We start from the raw sequence: 23,184 nt of genomic DNA, 5'->3' as shown, positions 1-23,184 counted from the left end.
CCTTTGTCCCGAATCCTTACCCTCCAGCACAGAGCCTGGCACACACTGGTTGCTCAGTCACCCTCCAGCACAGAGCCTGGCACATACTGGATGCACACACTGAAATAAATGGAACACATGGCATCCAGATAAATTATTAAATGGATAATAGGCACACTAGAACCTTATATCTCGGCTTGTATTTTCAAAAAGAGGACGGCCCAAGCTCAGCCCAGGGAAGCGGCGTGTTTGAAAAGAGAGTAATGACGGGAGGAAGAAAAGCCAGACCAGCTGGAATATGAAAGAACTGACCAATTGGAAAGGACCTTCAGGAGCATATAGAGAATATAAATCTTACATTCTATATGCAAAAATTAAAAATTAAACTTAGCTCTTTGGAAAACCCATTTCCGTCAATGGCAAACAGCTTAATCTAACTAATTTAGAGTAAACTCTGACACTTGGCAATTTTTTCCTCCCTTTTGGATAGATAATCAGATAATTCAGAATTGTTCTTCTCTCATTCTCCATATCATTCCTCTGAAGTGTAAGTAAACATGGGAAGGCTTCTGTATCATCCTAGTATTGGAAGAGCCATCTACTCCCTTCTCCACTGAGACTCACTCCATGTTGGTCTCTGGTCATGGGCCCAGCCTGAGTGTGACTGAAGGAGTCCTTGCTGGCAGGTCATTAGGTCCACACAGATCACTCTGTCTCCATCCACAGGACCTCCAGGTCTGCCCACACCCTCTCGACCACCTCTGGGCCCCTCTCAGGGCGACACTGAGACCCTCAAAGCTCTCCTATGCTTCTCTGGGTTCCCAGGCCCTATCTGCCAAGGGCTCCCCACTGCCCTCCTCAACTCCCCTGACTACCAAAGCGGTCCAGTGCTAACTTGGGGCACACAGGTCATCTGGTTCCCAAGCTCCCTCAACCTTTCTGGTAAAGTCTCAGGTAGGGAATGCACCCACCTTGTTGCTCCTGCAGGGCCCCTCTCATGCTCTCCTTGTCTATTTCTCTCTGCTCCCAGCCCACAGGGTCTGTTCCACATCACTGCACATTCTGCCTCACTCTGTGACTTTTGACTACAAATCTAGGTTTTGGGGCCTATCAATTCTTGGTTCCAGATATTCAAAGTTTAGCTTTTTAGACTCAAGGATGTAATTTCACTCTCAAATAGTCCATATCTTACTGCTAAAAATCTGTATTTTCAAGTGTATCTGCCCTCCCCAACCCAAAGTAGTGTGCAGAAAAAGCACTAGCGGCTCTCTAAATGGAGGGAAATGAAGGATTGGGTCTGCAAAGCTCAGGAAAAAGAAACCTCAGGCGATGTTGCAAAGCATCACCATATTTTGAGTCGTAATTGTCATAATAATGAGCTCATTGTAGTGCCACATCCCCAGACTCTAGTTGTCCAGCTGTCTCTAGCTAAAATAATCACCAGAGAGAGGTATCAGTGCCCTTTTATAAAGGTCTTTATGGAGAAAATTTCCATGACAGTTATGATGGGAGATAAAGAACTCAAAATATTTTAAAATTCTGATGTTCCATTAAATACCCAACCCTTTTTGGTATCGATTGTAGTCCTGAGTCAGATTCAGAGCTTGTAGAACTCTAGGTAAATCCTTTAGTTTTACACCAAATTATCTCCTGGCAAAAGATGATGACTGAAGACAGGATGCAGAGTGTGTTCTGATTCATTTTTGGAAAGCACCACTTGTGTCTTTTTCCTGCACAAGGTCCCCATCATCTGTAGAATAAAGTTTGGAGACCTTGGAGCTGGACCCTCTTTCTCTGGCCCCAACCTGCCTGCCCAGCCTCTAAGTCCAACAACTGGGCTCAACCAGATCCATAACCTGTCCTCTGAATGGGCCAGAGATGGCCATCACCCTGCCCTAATCCCATCTGTTCATCAAGCACCATCACAAATCTCATTTCATCTCCCTGAGGCATCTGTGAGTGCTTCCTATGTTTAAACTGCACATTTGGCACTAACTGGCCTTAAATTACCTGCTGCTCATGACTTCTCATGTAAAACAATTTTATTTTAAGTAAAAGTCTATGTTTTGGGCAGAGTCTAGCAACTCTTGCTTCAGCCAACACACATGAGAATGTGTTCCTGCTAATCTAGATGGTAAATTCCCTGAGGACAGCACACCTCGGTGAAAAAAATTTTGGAGCCACAAACAGCATCCACCGAACTCAACCTCTCTGAGCATTGGTATTTCTCATTGCAAAATAGGAATCATTATAATGCCAACCTTATAGGGATGGGTTTAGACTCAGTGAGACAACCTATGTAACACACTGGCACAAGAAATGTTCAAAACAAGCTAATTCTCTTCCTTCTTTCCCATCAAGTTCTCTATTTCCTCCTCTTCCTCTTCTCAGCCTTCATTCACCAAAATGGGTCCTGCTAACTCACATGATGGTACAATGCTCAAAATAATATGTGCATCATAAAGATGGGCTCAGTGTTGGATGATGAATGGATGAATTAATTAATAAGACTAAATGAAATGTAAGGATTGCTCCGTCACCCACGCCTGTTCCCTGTTCCACATTTGGTCTCTACAAGGATGGCCTCACCCAGCCTTGGGAAGCCTCCTGACCACTGTCTGGAGCCCTGACTCTTCTTTGGCCATTTTTCTAAGAAACGCTTAGCAAGGACCCTACACTGGGCTTCAGTTTTCTTGATAGTGAAATCCAGGATGTATGTAAGGAAGGATAGTTGGCTCCATGCTCAAGGATGGTGTGTCCTTCAGAAGGAACTGGCAGGATTTCTATCAGAACCCCATTCCCTTCTGCTGCAAGTGTGCCAGGGTCTTCTGGCCTTTCTAAGCAGTGACATGAAGTCCATGGTGAGCTGACTTGGTTAGCTGGTCCTTCCCCAGCTCCACCTCCGACCCATGATGCAGAGAAGTCACCATAGCAACTCACCATACTCCATTTCCCCTTCCAGGAGGGGACAGAGAAACAACAGCAACCAAAGCCTCTCAGCCATTCCAGGTGTTATCATGACCCAAGCTGGGCATTTATTTTCTGGGTCTGAAAACACCAGGTATCTGCCGTAGAACTTGGGTGGCTGTCTTAGACACATGTATCTGAATAGCCTCCCTTTCGTTAATCTCTAACCATGAAGGATTCTAATTCAATGTAGAATATTAGTACAGTAATATTCAGATTTTCCCCATTTTGAATCTGTGTTTATAGCCCATAATAATAAGGAACTGTGAGGTTGGGTGACACTTTAAGGACTTAGATTTAGTTTGGTGAGAGCATTGAAGGGTTTTGTGATCTCACTCCCAAATGGGAGGAAGAAAGAAGTCTCCTAGAAAAGGGGATGCCACCTCATGCCCATGTTACTTCAGTTTCCAGCTATAGTATTATTATATATTCTCTCAATGCTCTCAAACAGAATGAAATCTGGGTTCCTCGATGTGTTTTTAATAACTTTTCTGAAGAGATGGCTGAGTCTGAATTGTTGACTCAAATTGTATCAGCTTTCCAAGAATCTTGCTTTCAGAGGTGAGAATGATGAATTAAAGAGTTACTTACTTGGATTTTTAAAATGTGTCCATCACTGAGGCCCCTGGGCTTGTGTACAAAGATTAAAAGGTACTATTCCCCCAGGAAGATAGACTGAATCACCTGTATACATGCCAAGACAACTACAGTCTAGGTAGCCATACAGTCCTGGCCTACAGATCCAGAAGTGGTGGTACTCCAGCAAGCTCACCCAGCTAGAAGACATGTCTCAGTAGAAGCAGAGCTCTCATGAGGGTGTGAGAGATGAGGCCAGGTGATTTCTACCTACACTTTCAAGTCAGGAGACAGACCTCTCTGGGGCTGAGGGCTGTGAGCTCAGAAAGGCGCCACTCCATGGAGAAGGCTATGCCTCCAGTTCCCTAGATATGCTGTTATCCAAGAAACAGCCCAGCTGTCATCGGTGAAGGCCCCTAGGAAGAAGGAAGCCAAAGTGGGTTCTGTGGTTCCAGAGAAGAGACATTCCCAGAGCCATTGATTTATGTTAGTGCATACCCCAGGCTCTGCCTGAGAAGAGAAGAGATCCCTGAAACCCACATTCTTAGAAAAAGGTTCTAGATAGCCATTATGAGAGAGAAACTGGGGCTTGCCCACTTTTACTGAGGACTCCTGGAGAGAGGAAGAGGCAAGTACAAAGGGAAGGGAAGGAAAATGGAAAGGGAAAAGCAGCCAGGCAAGTCATGGATGTTGATGAAAACATTCCCAGAAACATCTTCCCCTTCCTTCCACACACAATGGTGGTGATGTGATGGAAATACTAGATGGGGAGTTACTGTTGTAGCAACCCATGTAAATGGGAACCAATGGAAGAGAAATTATATATGCCTTGCATTTCATTCAATGTTTTTTCTGTTTGTTTGTTTGTTCATTTGTTTGTTTGGGAGTGGGGATTGTACCTGCTATTTGCTGGCATCAAACTAGGTGCCGGGCAATATAAATATGAAGGCAATTAAACCAAGTTTTCTGGCCTTAAAGAGCTCAGTACAGTGGATAAGACAGATAAAGAAGGGACTACAATATAGTGAGGTGAATGAGACGCAGTGCTGTGGAAATGGGGGAGGATGCAGTGACTGTGTGAAGGATGATAATACAACAAAGCCACAGAGTGAGTGCAGAACAGAAGAGCACAGACATTCTACTCATCTCCTGGGATCCATCCAGCTCCATGACACCTCTCCAAACTCTCCTTCCCTCTCCCCAGGAGCACTGATAGATTCCCGTAACTGTGGACACACCCCTCTTAGGAGGGTCTTTCCACACCTTGTCACACATTTAACCCTCTGCCTCCTTCTAATATACTGTCAGCTCCTTGTATGCAAGAACCATGTTTTCTTCATGTTTGCCTCTTTAGCACCTAGAATATTGAAGCTGAATACTATGTGCCAGATTGTGAGTTGCTAGTGTTTGTTGGCAGGAAAGAAAGAAGGAAGGAAGGAAAAAGAGAAGGAAGGAAATGAATTTCTCCAACTTCCAGAACTTCTTCCCATTACCTCCCGTCCTTCTCCTGTATTTGGCTCCTTTTTTGTTCCATCCAGTAACTCCTTCTTTCCCCCTGTTCTCTTCGATTCTTCCTGCCCACCACCCATCAATCCATTCCGGAGCCCTCCCTTTCACTTTCCATCCTTTGTCTTCCTTTCTCTGTTTCTCCTCCAGGTCCTTCCCTTTTTCCACTTCTTGTCTGACCCCCTAAGCCTTTGTGTCCTTTCTCCATCCTTCTCTCCCTAATTTCCCATTACTTGGGGCAGGGTCAGAGGTCTGCTATGGCTCATGAGGAACAATGAAGTGATGAAAAAGGATGGGCTAAAGATTATTTGTTTCAAAGACAGTCGAAGGAATGGTGACAGCTTTCAAATGGGGCATAAACCAAGTTAAGCCTTCAGTCAATAAACAAAGAACCAGGACCTCCAACCAGATAGCGGTTGTAGATATAGGCCACAATATACAAGGATCACGTGGCCAACCAGTTTTGAGGGTTTCCAGCCCAAAGCAGAAGTCCTGGGAGAGCCTGTGCCCCACTGAAAAAGACCCTACATGGTGACCCCAAATTGCAGACCCCACAGGGATCGCCTGTCCCAGCCTTACAACTTGGGAAGCCCTAGCACCAGAGAGATTAAGTGACTTACCCAAGGTTACATAGCAAGTCACAGCTGAGTCAGAACCACAGCTCAGCTTCTCCACTGCTGGCCCAGTGTTTTCCCACTATAACGCATTGCCTGTAGCTCCAGCAAATGCATTTCCTACGCGCCAGGATTGATGCAGCCAGCATACAGGGAGTCATTCTTCCTGCTGAGAAATGCATCCAGTTATGGGGAGGAAGGTGACAGCTGTTTAATAGCAGCTCTGTGGGATGGTTCTGGACTTGGAATGTGGAATATTATCTCCTGCTAATGCATTAGCAGAGACGAGGGGAAACAGAATGTAATTACCCAAACGGCTGTTTTTCCCGGATACTAAAATGAATTCTCCCACCCTGGTGAATAATGTGGACGGTCTTTAACAATTGGTTTATGCCCCATCTGAAAGCTGTCACCACTCCTAATAGCACAGGGACCTGTCTTGCCAGTCAGGGGTATTGATTTGAGACTGCGTCGGCGATCTGCTCGTGGATTCATCAGCTTCCTGAGAGAGACGCCCCAAAAAGGAAGATCCAGGGGGACTTTGCTGCTGGACTTCTGACAGCATGGCCTCGGGGCCTCCCTCAAATATGCCCATGCTTCTCTGCATCTCTGCATCTCTGCATCTAGCTGAGCCCTAGCAGTTTATGTGGTTTCAGGCCCATGACCAGGGGTGGTGGGAGGGTCCAATCCAAAGTGAAGATTTAGAGAAATACCCCATTCTTAGGAGAACCCAGAACAAGTAAGCTTCTGACCACTCATCTTTGCACAAACCTCATAGATAAATACCAACTAGAAAGCACATAAATTAAGTATAATTAATTCATCTCATCAACCTAGAAATAACTTCTCTTCTAAATGTCTGTGGGCTTTTATTTTTTACCACCATTATGGCCCTTATGCTTCACCACAATTCCTAGTTATTTGTGCTCCTGTCATATCTGCCCTAAGACTGCAACTCTTTGAGGATAAGAGTCCATGAATCATTTCTGTATTCTCACATCACCTAACACCTACCACAGAGCTGTACACGGGAAAGATGCCCAATAAATCAAATCTCAACATGAAGTCATTGACAAACACATGGCTTCAGAGGAAAGAATCCATCGTGGGCAGGACGAGCCTTGTGTCAGGAGCTCTGGGCAATGTGCTATCTCTGCACTTCCTGTCTCCAGAGGTCAGAAGGCTACACAGAGGCTAGACCAGGGACAGGAGAGGATTAGCTGACCAAGGGCAGGACAGCAGTGCATTATCCAAAAAGAAAGGAAATGGAGTCCACTCAGACTAAATAAGACCTGGGACCCAGAAGCCTCACTCATGGCTGTGAAGACTCTTCCCAGAGAGGGAAGGGCCAGGACTGGGAAGGCCAACTGTGCCAGAAAAGCCATGAATCATGGCTTGCAATCTTGGCCCTTAGGAAGAAGGAAACCAAAGTGGGTTCTGTGGTCCCAGAGAAGAGACATTCTCAGAGCCATTGATTTATTTTAGTGCACACCTCAGGCTCTGCCTGAGAAGAAGAGAGATCCCTGAGACCCACATTCTTAGAAAAAGGTTCTAGATAGCCATTATGAGAGGGAAACTGAGGCCTGCCCACTTCTACTGAGTACCCCTGGAGAGAGGAACAGCTTTCAGACTGTGGAAACGTCATGGTCTGGATGTGAGAAGGAAATTGGAATGCAGGTCAGGTCTTCTTCTTCTCAGTGATGAGGAAGCATCTGGACAAAGCCCAAAAAGTCTTAGGCACCACCAAAGGGCCGTGCTGCTTAACTGTGTTAGGTGGAATTATCTTCAAGACAGAGACAGGAGGGAAGCAGGCAGCAGACCACCACCCAGCTAACAAGACTGCCAGCCCGGGAACAAGCTGCATGGTGCTGGCCGCCTTCTGGGAGATGAGTGGCTGAAGCAGCCCATTCAAAGGCTTTGGGAGCCTTTATGAATCGAATCTCTGGAAGTCCAGCTAGAGTGTCTATTGATCCCAAAGTCACCTTCAAGTGGAACAGCCATAAATTACCAGTCAGCTTTTATTATGTGAGAGATTTTCAAATTCTAAGCCTGACTTTCTCCTTTTTTATTATCCTAATGAAATACCATGACTTGGCCCAGTCTTAAGAAAGCACCCAGTGAAGAAGGAACAGGATTTCTGAGCTAATGGACTCAAGTCCTCACTGAGAAGTCCTGGACACCAACCCTGCCAGGAACCCTCCTCTGTGTGGGAGACAATCTGGAAGCCAAATCACACAGATTTGATGGAACTTAAAGTGGGTGGAGGTGTGGACCCAGAAGTATGGAGGAGACCTGGGCCACCCTGAATAATACCCTCTTCAAGGGAGGGGCATTGGCCGCAATGCAAACCTTGACTCCATCCAGGAATGACACTAGTCCCAGCTGGTTTGTGTGTGGATGCTGCAGTGTTAGTTTTTCTAAAGGCTCCTTTACATTCTGGTTTGGGTCATCCTTTTAGATATACCTAGAAGATTCTCTTTTTTAGTTTTTTTTTTTAATTACCATAGCAAGAACACTTCACATGAGATCTACCTTCTTAACAATTGTTGTAATGCACAACACGGTATTTTTAACTATAGGCATAATGTTGTACAGCTGATCTCTAGATATACCTAGAATATTCTTAATTGTACAACTCTTAGTGGAAAAATCCTGTGCTGAACCATTTATTACTCCCCAAACATTTATTAATCATTTACGAACGTATATAATAGGGAATTGTTGGTCCTCACAGAGCTGGTAAGGTAGTAAGGAGGAAGGATCTATGACAACTCATTATAAGGAAATTAAGTACCCTCATGGGGGAAGCTGTGGAAGCAGAGAAGTGAGCATGTGATTCCAAATGGGAGAAAATATATCAGTGCCTGCCCCTCACTGAGACCACAGTTTATTTTCTGGAGGTGCAGATGAGATGCTGTACAGAAAGGTGGGCATTTGCAGGCAGAGTAAATCCATGTCCAAGTAGAACTGGCAAACAATCAAATTCCCTGACACTGGAGCAAACTTAAGATTGACAAGCCTCCTCTACAGCACTTGGGAGAACTTGCTGTCAATCAGTCTGCTTCCTGGGGGCCACATGCTGGGAAACTTTTGTTCTTATTTGGAGACAAACAAGATGGAGAGCCTTAGACTGAACCATAGGCCCAATCACTAACACTCTGTGTGAGGCTTAAATATTTATGTGAGATTTTCTCCATATTTACTTCTACCTGATGTTTTCTCCATCTTTACTTTTCAGCTAAGGCCAGAACATTTATTAAAAATTACACAATTTGATCACCTTTTTCAGTCATCATTCAGAGATTTAAATTTCTAAATAAAGAAGGTAAAATATCTTAAGAGGACAGCATTGCCTTTTCCAAAGAGTGGAAGGCCTGTCTTGGTTCAGTTATTGTTTTAATACATTTGCAGATTTTCTTGCATGAAATGTTCATGACACACAAAGCAACTTTATAGGTACTCCTGACAAACTCAGTACCATATTGGTTATGGACTCTGGTTCTGCAAGCTGACGTTCTGGGCTCGAGTCTCCTTTCTGCTGTTTACCATCTGTGAAAACTTGGTCAAGTCTTTTGCTTCTTCTCTTAGCCTCTTGTTAATCTGTAAAATAGTGGACCAAATGGGATATTGCACATTATGTTTATCAAAGTGATTAGTACACAGGGAGATTTTACTTTTGACCCAGGAAAGGGCCAAGCCAGTGAGATATTATTAAGCATCTCTGAAATCGAGAGTATAGTTTTTGAGATACAACCTCATCTACCATATGCAAGGGAATAATCCTTTCCTCCTACCCCTCCAGGAAGATCATAGCTTAGTTCAGGGCCCCTACCTCCTGCAAGGTCAGCCTGCAGATTCTGCAGGGGGAGCATTGACATGAAAGAGATGCTAGGTCAAATCCCACCTGGAGCTTGGCATTTGACATGGGAGACCAGGAATATTCCAATGGACAGACAGGTGGGGGAGATGGGGCCTCAGGTTTGCCACAGCACCCCCACTATGACCAGGAGGACAGAATGAGAATTAACTCTGGCTGTGGTTTGACCCTAAATAACAAAGGCATCTGCCGTGAAAGTTTGCCATGACTGCTGAGATTTCAGGAATAATATAACTGGCCTTTCTAGAAGCTAGAAGCGGTGGTATGATGTGCTGTGTCAAGGAATAAAGAGCCCACTTCTCCCTGGAAGAGTCACAGATGTCTTCAAAGATCAGCGTGAGCTGAGCCCTGCCAGCGGGGGAGAAAATTGGGACAGTGAGATGTGCAGGGTATTCCAGATGCCAGGACAGTGATAGTGGTCATGAGGAGGAGATGAGGGCAAAGAACTAACTAGTGTCTGCATTGTCACCACTAATCATTGCTGACTCATATTTAGTCCTAGTGAAGGACCAAGCTTTGCATTCAGCATTTAAATGGGTTAGCTCGTATTCCTCACTATAACCCATGTGGTAGCTCATCCCAATTTTGGAGACAGAGAACCTAAAACTCAGAGGCGTTCGTTATAGCTGATATGTAAGAGCAGAAGTGAGTACCATGGCCTGGTTGAATCTTCGCACTCAGTTGGATGGGAAAAAGCCTGTGGTTTACTCACAAACTACCTGTGAGTAGTTTGTTGTGGCTGAAGCCCCAGAGGGTGGGACTTGGGGGTCTCTGAAGATGTGGAGCAGTCATGGGCTGGATGGGGAAGCTTCATTTACTGAGGGTTTAGCTCATGCCCAGGAACCTGGAGAATTCTTTAACCCTGGCTGAACTCAGGTGTCTCCTTCTCTGTCCAAGACAGCTCAGAATAAACAGCACCCTGCAGCTGCACAAGAGCCCTGCTGTGTGCAGGGCCCAGATGGCACGCTTGATTTTCTTTATTTATTTGGATGTCATTTTCAGTGTGATTGAGTGATTCCACCACCCCAGTGGGTCTGCTCAGTCTCCCATCCCAAAATCAGGCAGGAGTGGAACAAGTTTGAGGTTTCTGAAAGATACTTATTTATTAATTGGGCCAACTCTGACTAAGCAGCTTTTACTAAAATCTAGAACCAGAGGCAGCAAAGTGCGGAGAAGGGTACACTCAGGGCATTCCATTGTACTGTAGTGAGAATATTACTTAATTTTCTAACAGTTTCTTCCCTGGGACTTTTTTTTTTCCAAATTAAATCTGATGTGGAGAAGGAGTATAGCATAGAGGTTAAGAATGTGGGTTAAGAGTCAGACTGCCTGAATTCAAATCCAGGTACCACCCTCACTAGCCGTGTAAGCTATAGAGTAAGTTATGTAACCTCTCTGAGCCTCATTTTCCTCATCTGCAAAAAAGAAGTTAATAATACTATTTACTCTTAGGATTTTAAGGAGATAAAATGAGTTAATACTTGCAAAATGTCAGCATACAACCTGGCACATATATAGTCCTCAGGAAACGTCAGCTATTATTGCTCTGCGGAACAGACACAATCAGAAGGGCCCAGGCTGCATCAGGACAGAGGGGCCTTCAGATTCCACCCATGCTCCCATGCAGGCTCCTTGGACCTCGAGGGGCCTTGGGCAGGTGTCTAACAAGTGCCTCTTCAGGAGGGAGCCTTGATTTTACCATTTGCCAATTTCTGTAGTGTAAATATTCCCATGATGGCTGATTATAAGATACCACTGTGAGGTCTCCAGATGTGGAATTGGGAAGAGATGCACACAATTGGCTCCAGCGTGCTACTCTGGGAGCCTAGGTGGAAGCCAGAGAGTCTTAGGTGTCCTTGTCAGCTCTGGCTTTGTATATCCTAACTCAGGGTAGCCTAAACATTGGAGTTAAGCTCCCCACCAATGTTTGGCAGATGTGAGGAAATGGACAGAGTGTGGAGCAAGCAGAAAAGAGTTTGGAGAGTTCAGGGTGTTAGGTTTTAATGCCTGACCTAAAAGGCAGCACTTCTGACAGTTCAGTGACTTTTAATTAGATGAGATCGAATCAGCAGAACTGCTTCCTGTAGCTAAAAGTCTTTCCCTTCCAGTGCAGCCATTCAGTTACTGCTAGGGCCCATTGGGCAACACGCCTCAGCCGAGGGATGGGATAGTGGCATAAGGACATGCATTGCAGAGACCTTCAAGGACAAGTGGTGTGTGTGTGTGTGTGTCTGTGTGTGGTGGGTGTGTATGTGGTGTGTGTGTTAGCAGGGAGCATAGGCCAGGATGGACTGAAAGTCTTGGGCTTAGAAACTCAGGAATTACCCTCGTAGAAAGTGACCTGAGAACCAGAGAAATTACATAAAAACAGCACTGGAGTGGGAATGTGGGGACCTGGGTTTTAGGCCCAGTGCTGCATGACTTTGTTTTCCCAGCTGAAAATAGGAGAATCAGGATGCCCACCATGCCTTCTTCACAGGGGTGTTGTAGAATCAAAAGACATCTCATCTGTGAATGCACCACACAAATGGAAGAGGTTAATCTCTACTCAACTGTGAAGTAGCTAAATGCTCATGAGTCGGCCAAACACCTTGGAAACCAATCAGTTGCTAGGGAAGGTATCAGGTATCCATTCTTGTCACAAAGAAAAGTGGGCTGGCCGGGCGTAGTGGCTCACGCCTATAATCCCAGCACTTTGGGAGGCCGAGACAGGTGGATCACGAGGTCAGGAGACTGAGACCATCCTGGCTAACACAGTGAAACCCCGTCTCTACTAAAAATACAAAAAATTAGCCAGGCGCGGTGGCAGGCACCTGTAGTCCTAGCTACTTGGGAGGCTGAGGCAGGAGAATGGTGTGAACCTGGGAGGTGGAGCTTGCAGTGAGCCAAGGTCGTGCCACTGCACTCCAGCCTGGGTGACAGAGCGAGACTCCATCTCAAAAAAAAAAAAAAAAAGAAAAAGAAAAGTGGGCATGTGGTAAGAGTAGTCATGGCCTGGGACTGGAACCAGAAAGCTACATGTGCCAGGAAAGCAGCTCTTCATCTTGCTCCTCAAAAGAGGTGAGAGCATCTCTTAGGTATCATGCCAAAGCCTCTGGGTTTTAGCTTCTCTCTCTCTCTCTCTCTCTCTCTCTAAAACTGGGACATTGAGAAGAAGGATGAAGAAGGATGGTCTCCGGTGCACGATGCCATGGCTCCCATTGGGTGCTGCTCTGCTCTCCTGCCTTCTCTGATGAGCATGGCCCAGAAGGGCTGCCTTGGCCCCAGATCCACCCCAGGATCATTCAGCTCAACCCTCACAGACACCCAGCACTATCCCAGTCTTGAATTCTGAAGAAAGGAATCTGATGGGCCCAGATCTGGCTTTTGAGCAAGGCCACATGCATCTTAGGTTGTTGGCCAGCTTGTGAAAGCGCTTCCCTTCTATCACAGCCAGGAAGGAGTCACGCAGCGCAGAGACCACAGGGCCACCTAAGACAGGGAAGACTCTGTGAGGAGTCAGGACAGGAAACAGCCACAGTTGGCCTCTCTGGAACATCCTGTGCTCCTCAGACACTTCTACAGTCTTTTCTTAGCCCCTTAAAGACAAAGAAATGAAATTCTGAAAGACCTTATGGCCAGCACATGAGACTACACTGAAGGTCATACAAAAGCTATAAAAGTCAGTGAAAGGCTGGTCTCAGGTGTTTGAGCTGCCAAGTGACAGAAATGCCCCAGCCTCAGGCTCTCTTGTGCTTAAGGACCAAAGGCTGTCCTTTGTTAAAAGTGTCAGCTATGTCCATTTATCTTCCTACCTTTGAGTCTCAACATCCTAATCAGGCAAAACAAAGTACCAAGGTTTTCCTTATGGGATGTCCATGAAGAATTCAGCAGAGTCTGAATGCATTAGGTTGAATCATGTGAAACTGCCACTTTTATGTGCCCAGAACAGTACAATGTCACCAGTTTCATCTGGTTCAACCTAATAGGAAGCCTTCAATAAATGCTTTTTTTTTTTTTAGATCCTCACTTCATCATGACCTTCTCCACTAGAAAATATTGAAACCTCAACACACTGCCTTTGGGTCATTTACAGTTCAACACAAGTGTGTAATGAACAAAACACCTCTCCCTGGTGTACAGACAGGAGCAGGCTTTAGCTCCAACACCACCTTGTAAATTCCCTGCCCTCTGCTCTCTAGAGATGGAGGTTTGCTGTGCATGGAGCCAGACCCAGACTCGGCAAAGCAATAAAAGCTCTGTGTTCTCAGGTTGGAAAATTCCAGAGATGAGTCTTCTGTTTAATCATGTCATTTTTTTGCTCTCTTCCCTGAAAATTGGAGTAATTGCAAAATGTAAATACACAAAAAGTGAAAAAAATTGGTGATTGATTGATAGGAAGGAATAATGCATCAAGCTCATTATCTTCCCCTGGAGTAGCACACAGCCAGACCTGAAGCTCTTCTAAGCACAGGCAGGGCCTGATGGAGGACATGGGGCCACAAGAACAGATGGGCCAGTTTACTGATCTGGGTGGTGCCAGATGATCCATTGAGTAGAGGGTCTGCAAATATCTCAAGCATTGATTTTAGGTTTTACAATAGTGATGTTGTCCCCAGGAGCAATTTGAGGAGGTTCAGAATCTTGCAGCCTCCAGCTGCATGACTCCTAAACAATAATTTCTAATCTTGTAGCTAGTCTGTTAGTCCTACAAAGGCAGTCTGGTCCCCAGGCAAGAAGGAGGTTTGTTTTGGGAAAGGGCTGTTACTGTCTTTGTTTCAAAGTTAAACTACAAACTGAGTTCTTCCCGAAGTTAGTTTCTCCTGCACCCAGGAATGAACAATGACAGCTTGTAGGTTAGAAGCAAAATGGAATCAGGTCAGATCTCTTTCACTGTCATAATTTTATCAGTTATGATTTTTGCAAAGGCAGTTTCACTCCCATCCCTCAACCCTTTCTGGACTCTGCCCACTTCCCACAAACCCTCTTATTCCTCACTACCCCACAGCCTCTATCTTGTGGCCTCTCCTGCCTCTCTACCACTACAGCCTAGGTGTCTTGGGACAATTCCTCTGCAGATGGATCTGGAAGTGCCTGCTCACTGACCACTGATTGATCGGTCAACGTCACAATATCACATAACCCTCTCTGGACCTCTCTTTTCCCAGATAATTGGATGTTGCCTGTCTAAAAGACCTCTGAGCCTGAGATTCTGTCCTCTGTATCTTTGCTTTAGCATACTCACCACAGCCACAAGGCAGGCATGGAACATTCTGGGCGTGATGTAGGAGAGCAAGGTTGGGGAGGGCCTCAAGCCGTGGCCTACACAGGGCACTTCTTTCGTGACCACGTGGCCCTAGCAGCTGGAGACCAGCCTGCTTGGCTCCGGCAAGTATTACAGGCCCCACACAGATTTTAAAGGCATTTCTGCCTGTCCTCTCTACATACATTTCCACAACCAGTAACAGTAATAAATCTATGCCACTCCTGACAGTTTACAAAGGGCTTTCACATATACATCTCATGTGCTCTTCCCCACAATCTTTATTGTCACCAGTTTAGCAGTGAGGGTGAGGGTGCAGCACAGATGTGAAGTGATGTGACTAATCGGTAGCACAACTTGAAGCGGAGCACAGATGGCCGATTCCTACCCCAGTGGCCTCTCCAGGATACAGCATCTCCCTCCTCCAAGATGGTCATCATCTCCTACTCCTTATGACGGGGCAGCTGGAAGAAGAGAGAGTGGCTGCCAGGGCTAGGGCTGATGATAGGATTGGTTTCACTGTGGCCAGAGCTGAGAAGGTTCTGCATACCTAGAGCTGCAGGGACCCCCAAACAGGAGAGTCCTGGGATCTTAAAGCCAGCATTCTGCTCTTCACCTGTCTCAGCCCCAGTTAAGTGCCACTTCTCTCTCTGGTGCTTCTTCTTCCAACTAGGGTACTCTGCTTAGGAGTCTGGGTCTGCCTCTCCCACCCTACCACCAGCCTCCCATGGAGTTAACTGAATTATACCTGGCCCACATTAGCCTCTCCAGCCTTACCTCAAGACTTTGCAGCTGCAATCATCACCATAAATCAGCAAGTCTTTCCATGTGTTTGATCAGATTTCTCAAACTGAGAATCTGATTGCTCCAGTCTATCTCTTAAGGCGGAACCACACAAGTCACAGGTGTGGCCAGTCTAGTAATTGGTTGCCCGTGGCTCGATCTGTGGTGGCTGGAGTGGGCATGGTCTGGTTCAGAAGTGGCCCCCAGGATGCAGGAACTCTGAGCAGAGGACTGGTCCCTGGACAATGAAGGGAGGAGGAGTGAGCATGCAGTTAACGCTTTTGTCTGGGATGCCTCCCCTGTGTCATTATCGGGTGATCCCTGCTGACCTGTCATGGCCCAGCCCAAGTGAAGCACAAAGGCTTCACTGCTTTGTGAAGCCTTCAGGGAGAATGAGCCAGTCCTCTCTCTAAGCTTCCATACATCTCTCCTCAGTTTCAGATATGTCTTCACCCCCACAAAAATATAAGATCCCAAAAGAACAGAAGTATTTTTCATCTATCTTTAATAACTCTATATGTTAATTCAAAATAGAAGCCACAATATAACTCAGTGTTTCCCAACACTGTTGTGGTGAAAACGTGTCCCATGTTCAAATAGGAGCAATGAATGTTGGGTTTTTAAATGTTGCCCAAATTTCTCCAGTCCAGGGTTTCTCAGAGCCTTTAATTTGCTAATGTACAATATGAATCTCCAAGAGTAAAATAGAATATGCAGCCTTCCCAAACTTATTCCCACAAAATAATCTTTTCATGAAGCACCAAAAACAGTTCCCAGAACCAGTGTTTTTGCAGAAAACAGTTTGGGAGATACACATGTAGCAGAAATTCCTTAGACTCAGGTGCAGGCAAGCTATAGTTCAAATTTGGCTCTGCAACCTTGGACAAGTTGCTTAACCTCTCTGGGCCTGAGTGTCTTTATCTGTTAAACAAAGATGATAATACCTACTCACAGGGTTGGTAGGAGGATAAAATGACAAACAGTGGGTCCAGTGGGACTTGCTCAGTGACTGCCTGTGAGCAGGTGCTCCGTAAATGGTCGCTGCTGGTTTCTTGGGACTCTGTCATTACTGAGTTTACTCTACAGCAGGTACTCAGGAGGTTCTGGTTCAGAAGCACAGCACCACTGAGAAGCCTAGAAGGCCCCTGAGAGCCAACAGAAACTGAGCAAGACCAGAGCCAGTGGCAGCTGTCTCTGTCCCACAGAGGTGGGGCAGGCTGACTCAGGTGCTCAGGTCAATGGAAGGATCTTCCCAGGATCTCCACATCTGCCAGTCCCCTCTCCAGATCCAATGGCCATAGGGATCACCAAGGGGCCACTAGCCTTTCACTGGCCACAACAAATGTCTGGTGGCCCAAGGCTATTCTCATGCAGCATGCAGAATAAAATAATACAGTCACTTACAATGGCCCAATTCCTTCACATTCACAAGATTTTCTTTGTGGCTTCCATCTTATCCCTTCAACCAGTCCCGATAGACCTCACATAGAATGCTCTGGAGTTATGTATCAGGATAGTTCTAATCCCAGAAACCCTGTAGGATAGACAGGACCGGGATTATTTATGCCCATTTTACACATACATAAAGTAAGACTTGGAAAGACTAAGCCAGTTGCCCAAACCTTCACCCTGAGAGCAGCAGTTTATCAGCCCTGCTTGCTAGAGATGGTTCTTGCTGATTATCCATTGCTCTCCAGGCTCTGAGCTGCCTCCCTCTACCTTGAGTGGGTAACATTCCTGTTTCAGTGATTCCTGCCTTGTGCAGGCTGAACTTCCCAGCCAGGTGTCTCCTGACCAGCCCTCACTGTAGCCATGGTGACAGGACCCAGCAGGTCCTGGTTCTACTCATCCAGTTTGGAGTCTTCCCCACAGTCGCACTGTACATTGCAGGCTGCTCTTCCCTGAGCAGGGCACATCCTAGGTTTGGTGTGTAAACCACATCTCCATCCTTCTTCCAGCTGACAGACATAGCTCCTGCCTATGAGCTGTCACCTGTCCACTCTGCACATCCTTCATACCACCTGCAGGGTGCTCCTCCAGAGCTGGAAATAATGAAAGGGGAGGCCTTTGGCCAGAGCAAGCTGCCCTGATTTTTGCACTAGAGTATTTAAAACAGCCCAGGTACAGAGGATCCCTGCTTCCTGGAAGCGGAGTTGTTTTGTGTCTAGATGAGCGTCTCTCTTCAGCCATTGCCCCCTACCGCCATGCCAACTGCCTTAGCATAATGCACTCTGATTTCCCCACTGTGACTAGCAATGGACTATTAAGCCAGTGTTGCCCCACGAATCTCAGCCTATGAGGCAGCAATCACAAACAAGCAGTTTGAAATGACTTTCCCCTGATGAGGCTACAAACAAACAGAGGCCAAAACCCAGCCTGTGGCCTATTGTCAAGAACACCAGTCAGAGCAGGGTCAAGAACAAAGTGGCAGGCTGCAACACAGGCCAGGGAAACCACTGCTTCCCAGTAATTAGGACCCAGTGAGCCCATAGAATAAGGCAGACTCTACTGTCTTCCCTGAGCCGATGGAGAGGGCGACCCTGCAACCCCTTTCAGCTGGAGTGGGGACTGAGCTAGTAATGCAGCCAACATTCATCAAGACTTACTCTGTGTTAGGCACCACTAAGAACTTGATGGACAGTAATTCATTTGCTCTTCACAAAGGCCACATGAAGAAGGTACTCTTATTATCCCCGTTGTACATTCGAGAAACTGAGTCTTAGGATAAACCACTTCCCAATCTTACGGAGCAAGTAGGTGATGGAGCCAACAGTTAAACTCAGACAGCGTGTCGTCAGAGCCACTGAAAGGTCCTGATTGAATCTGGGTCCCTTTAATGGAGAGTACTCAGTGAACACTGATAACATAATAGAGCATTGAATTAGGAGTCCGTCCTTACGATGGGAGCTGTAAATAGCAGAATGTGAGCTGCCTTCAGTTCTGCCTCATTCCTTCTATGTGATCTGCACAAGAACCAAACTGACTTCATCTCTACCTCACAGGACTATTATAAAGATTGAATTTCATAACATGTGTCAAAGTGTTTCTTAAACTATGATGCTTACCATACGAGCTGTGAGCATTTGTTGCTTTCCTATAAACAATCAGTGTCCTGCCCTCGTCCTGCTACTCACTAGCTAACTGAAATGGCCCAACTGACCTTGTGAATTGGTATTTCTAAGCTTTGGCTTTTTAAACATGGAATGACACTATTGATACAAGGCCAGCTTCTCACCTCGCTTCCTACCAACCTGTTTGTCCAAGTTGTAGAGCCTTAATGAGCTGAGCCCCTGGGTGCCCCGAGGATGCACAAATACCAAATGAACAGAAAGCATTTATTATTATGGTAATTGTGCTAAGATACCCTCTCCAGAGAGCTGTGAGCACTTTACAGACACAGTTCATTCATTCTCATAAGCAGACCCAGATGGACCACCCTGGGGGACAATCTGGCTGGGTCGAGTATGCCAAGTCAGCCTAGGAGAGATGGAGCAACTTGGGCTCACTAGGGTAGGGGCAGAATCCTACAACTCATGCATTCCACCCCTGCCCAGCCTGACACAGATCATGTTGTCTCTGAGAAGAAGCAACTCCTTCAGCCCTGTTGTCCTTGAAGACCAGTTCTCAGCCTGTATCAAGTTGATGGGAAAGGTTTTAATAAGACACAGCAAACCCCTACAGCTGTCCCTTGCAGCAAAACCCTCATGGCAGAGGTTCTTAAGGTGTAGTCCCAGAACCAGCACCAATGTAATTTGCATAATTAAAAATGCAAATTATCAAGCTCTATCCTAGATCTACTGAATCGGAAACTCCGGGGGTGTTAAGAAGCATGACTTTGATGCATGCTAAAGTTTGAGAACTACTTTCTTAGAGTAAATCCCAGTTATAGTTGCAAAGGTTATCTGTGCCTCCTGAAAGGCACTTTCTTCAGATGGAAAGAGCTAGATCGGCAGCTGCTTATTTACTGAGCAGTCAATATTCCCAGGCTGGAGAGTCCCCACCTAATACATCTCTATCATTTCATTTTACTGCCCAAGTATTCCCTGCATCTTAGGAGTGGATGGGACCATACAGCCAGTTATTTTATAATTAAAAAGAAGTGAAAGGACACAGACTTCCCAAATTCTTTGCTTGATGACACAAAGTTGGAGCTAAATCTCCCCTATGTCCTCTATGAAAGAGACCAAGGTCTCAACGGCAGACTGCTCCCAGCAGCTCAGAGTATGAGCCCTGCCACTTCCTGACCATTCACACCCCACCCCATCCAAACCAAAGGACGGCATTTAGTGGTCCTGTGCAGTGTTCCTCCAAGTGCTCATGGAAATGAGTTGGTTCACCTCCTCCATCAGCCCAGTAGCCCACCTGGAAAACCAGATTCTAGGCAGAAAGAGGGTGTCAGAGTTTCAGAGGAATGGCCAGGATCTCTCTCCTCAGGCAGGGCCAGAGACCCCACTCTTAGAATGTTCTAGGAGAAGCCCTGAACTGGCAGCCAGGAGACCACGGTTCTAGTTCCTCTCTACCTCTTACCACCCATGTGACCTTGAGCCAGTTTTCTCATCTATAAATGGGGGTGACAGTTCCATGTCATAGAGTTGTTTTCAGTATTAACTGAAATCATGTACCTTGAACTACAAAAAACGGAGAGTGCTATGCAAATAAAGATCTTTATTATTCTGAGTCGCTGCTCTTTAAAGAAGACAAGTGAGGTCAGGAAAGCAGATGGAGACCACATCTGACCATCGGGTAAGGATTTATGCGTGAAACTGTCCCACTGATTGGAATGAAGACCCAGGAAGCGTGCTGCAGAGTGCATGGCAGCTCTGGGGACTGCCTGGCTGGTCAGCTGTCCGTGCTTCATTCTTCTCCTCCTCCCAGTTCAGAGATTCTGACAGATGGACCCAGGAATTGCTTCCTGGTTCAGCCAGTGAAATGGACGCAGTGAATAATCTACAGTTTACCCCTGAGCCAGTAAATCCAAACTCTTCTGCATTGTGTCATGCCGGGATCACAATAAATCTGGCATAAGACGGGACATAAAACATATCGGTATTTAGTTGATTTGTTAATTTAACTGTCAATGGAAATCAGATGTTGAGATTCACTGTGAAACGAAGTAGCAATTTGTGCCTCTGTCAGAAATATGGGTCTACAGTGTGATTCAGAAACCTCGCCCCAGCCTGGTGGGCATTTCGGGGATGCTGGTGGCCCTGAGAGATGCCAACAGCTTGGTGGCCCAGGCCTGGGTAAGGTCTGTCTCCCCATCCCCATGGCTGTCCACACTTGGACCAGCCCTGATTCTGCAGGATGCTGTAGGGAGTGGGTCAGGGGTGTGAATGAGCTGTGGATCTCTGAAAATAAAGCAGACTGCATTCAATTGGTACCTTCCTGTGGATCTTTTTTTCCCCTCTGAAAATAGACGCAATCCTCACCCTGCCTGCTTCCTGGATTGATTGAGAGAAACTAATGAGATAGTGGACATGAAAGGGCTTGGAAGAGTTTTGTGAATAGAAATACAGGTCATGTATTGGAATAGAAACAGGGTGAATTGGGGTCGTCAGAATGTAAGCATCAGCCTAGGAAGGAAAAAGAAGGACTGACTCACTCATGCTTCTTTTAGAGAAATTTACTTCCTTTTTTTGATTGTAAAAGTTATATATGTCCATTATAGGACACAGAAATTCAGAAAGGTTTAGAAAAGAGAGCTCAAAGCATTCATAATCCTCTCCCTTAGAGATAACTATGGTTAACAATTTGACATACATTCCTTCTAGTTTTCCTTTCTGTGTATATAAATGGATTTTGCTATGCTGTTCCAACAGTCTTAGATACAGGTGCATTGGGCTTGTTTGGTTGGCTGGTTGGTTTTCTTTTTAGTTAATTTATTATGAAAATTTTCTCATGTTAATAAGGGTTCTTCAAAAACACCCTTGTGTGACACAGGGGTACGAGCTTTTATTACTGTTTCCCTGTCTGTGGGGATGTTGTTTCTTTGTTTTTGCTTTCATGGTATTATAATCTGCTATGAGTTTTTTTAGATCTAAGCGTCTGATAACTCTATTTCCTCAAGGAAGTTTCCTAAAAGTGGAACCTTGGGGTTCAAAGGTCTTAAATACAAAGTTTTTAAGGTTCTTAAAACATACTGCCAAACTTTTCTAGAAAAGTTCTCCCAGTTCACCTTCTCACCAGCAGTATGTAAGAGTCCCTAACTCACTACATCCTTGCTAGGACTGAGTATTATTTTTATTTATTTATTTATTTATTTATTTATTTATTTATTTATTTAAATTAAGACAGGGTCTCACACTCAGTCACCCAGGCTGGATTGCAGTGCTGAGATCACAACTCACTACAGGCTCGACCTTCTGAGGAGAACTCCCAGGCTCAGGTGATCCTCCCACCTCAGCCTCCCAGGTAGCTAGGACTACAGACGTGTGCCACCATGCCCAGCTAATTTTTTTGTATTTTTAGTAGAGACAAGGTTTTACTATGTTGCCCAGGCTGGTCTCAAACTCCTAGGCACAAGACATCTGCCTGCCTAGGACTTCCAAAGTGCTGGGATTACAGATGTGAGCCACTGCGCCCGGCCTGGGTATTATTTTCAAGTCTTTGCTAATTTGATGAAGCTATTTTGTGCAAAAGCTATTTCAGTTTCTGCCATTAAAAGTAAAAATAATGGCAAAAACCAAAATAGCTTTTGCACCAACCTAATAAAATGTTTGAATCTGACCATCACTTCACACAGCTCATACTAAAGTCACACAGACAAGTCACTATTCCCTGAGCATGGCATCATCTGTTCCTGGAGTTCCCTTATCTTTTCTCTTTTGTTTAGAATTCTTACCCACTCTTTGAGGATAACTCAAGTGTTATCTCTTTCCTAGAGCCTTCTTTTGCCCCCTGGCTGGACACTCCTTCTCTGTGTGCCTATCATTCAGACATCCCAGTTATCTATTTCTGAGCAACAAATACTCCAGAGCATAGTAGCAAAAACAACAACCATTTTATCATTTTTCACAATTGTGTGGGACAAGAATTTGGGCAGGTAACTTTTTCATGCCACATGGCATTGACAGGTCATGCATTGGATTCAGCTGGCAGATCAAGAGGTGTGTGGGCTCCAGGATGGCTTTGCTTGCATGTCTGCTGCCTTGAAAATGATGGCAGGAGGGCTGAGCTCAACTGGGACTATCGCCAGAGTGCCTACACCTGACCTCTCTAGCATGGTAGCCTTGAGGGAGTCAAACTTCTTACATGCATGCCCCAGGCTCCAAGGCCAGATGTATCCATGACCAAGGAGGACGCTGCACAGTCTTTATGATCTAGCCTCAAAAGTTATGTGGTGGCTTCCATCATATGCTGTTAGTCCAAGCAGTCATGAGCCTGCCCGACTCATGAGAAGAATACCAAAGTCTCCATCTCTCCATAGTCCTCTCGAGAGGATTTTTAAAGAATTTGCAGTTAAGTTTTGAAACAGCCAAAACACACACCTATTTTAGCACTTATTGTATTTTTATTATTAATTGCCAAAATATCTGTCCTAGTATACAGGATGGCCTGAAGATTGTCATCCACATTTTCCTCATTGTCTACTATTTATTGAATACCTACTATGTAGGAGACACTTGTGCCCCTGTCACTTG

At 45.6% G+C, this 23,184-nt stretch overlaps 1 protein-coding gene and 1 long non-coding RNA gene across 4 annotated transcripts in view; one reads left to right on the top strand and one right to left on the bottom strand.

The window, feature by feature from the left end:
• Positions 1 to 23,184, top strand: part of ALK (ALK receptor tyrosine kinase) — a 728,813-nt gene that overhangs the window by 554,345 nt on the left and 151,284 nt on the right. The gene's annotated exons all lie outside the window — the stretch shown is intronic.
• Positions 15,028 to 23,184, bottom strand: part of LOC101929386 (uncharacterized) — a 32,817-nt gene continuing 24,660 nt past the window's right edge. Inside the window, exons 8-10 of one of the 2 annotated variants that reach the window (XR_939920.3) lie at positions 16,949 to 17,078; positions 15,539 to 15,782; positions 15,123 to 15,225 (exon numbers count right to left, since the gene is read on the bottom strand). This is a non-coding gene — a long non-coding RNA (uncharacterized LOC101929386). Of the gene's footprint in view, positions 15,226 to 15,538; positions 15,783 to 16,948; positions 17,079 to 23,184 lie in introns of both variants that reach the window. The other variant, XR_007086263.1, reaches the window with a different exon arrangement.

This window comes from Homo sapiens, chromosome 2 (genome assembly GCF_000001405.40).
Source record: "Homo sapiens chromosome 2, GRCh38.p14 Primary Assembly".
Classification (NCBI taxonomy): Eukaryota; Metazoa; Chordata; class Mammalia; order Primates; family Hominidae; genus Homo; species Homo sapiens.
The sequence above is the reverse complement of the archived record's forward strand: the minus strand, read 5'-3'. Positions and strand labels throughout refer to the sequence as shown.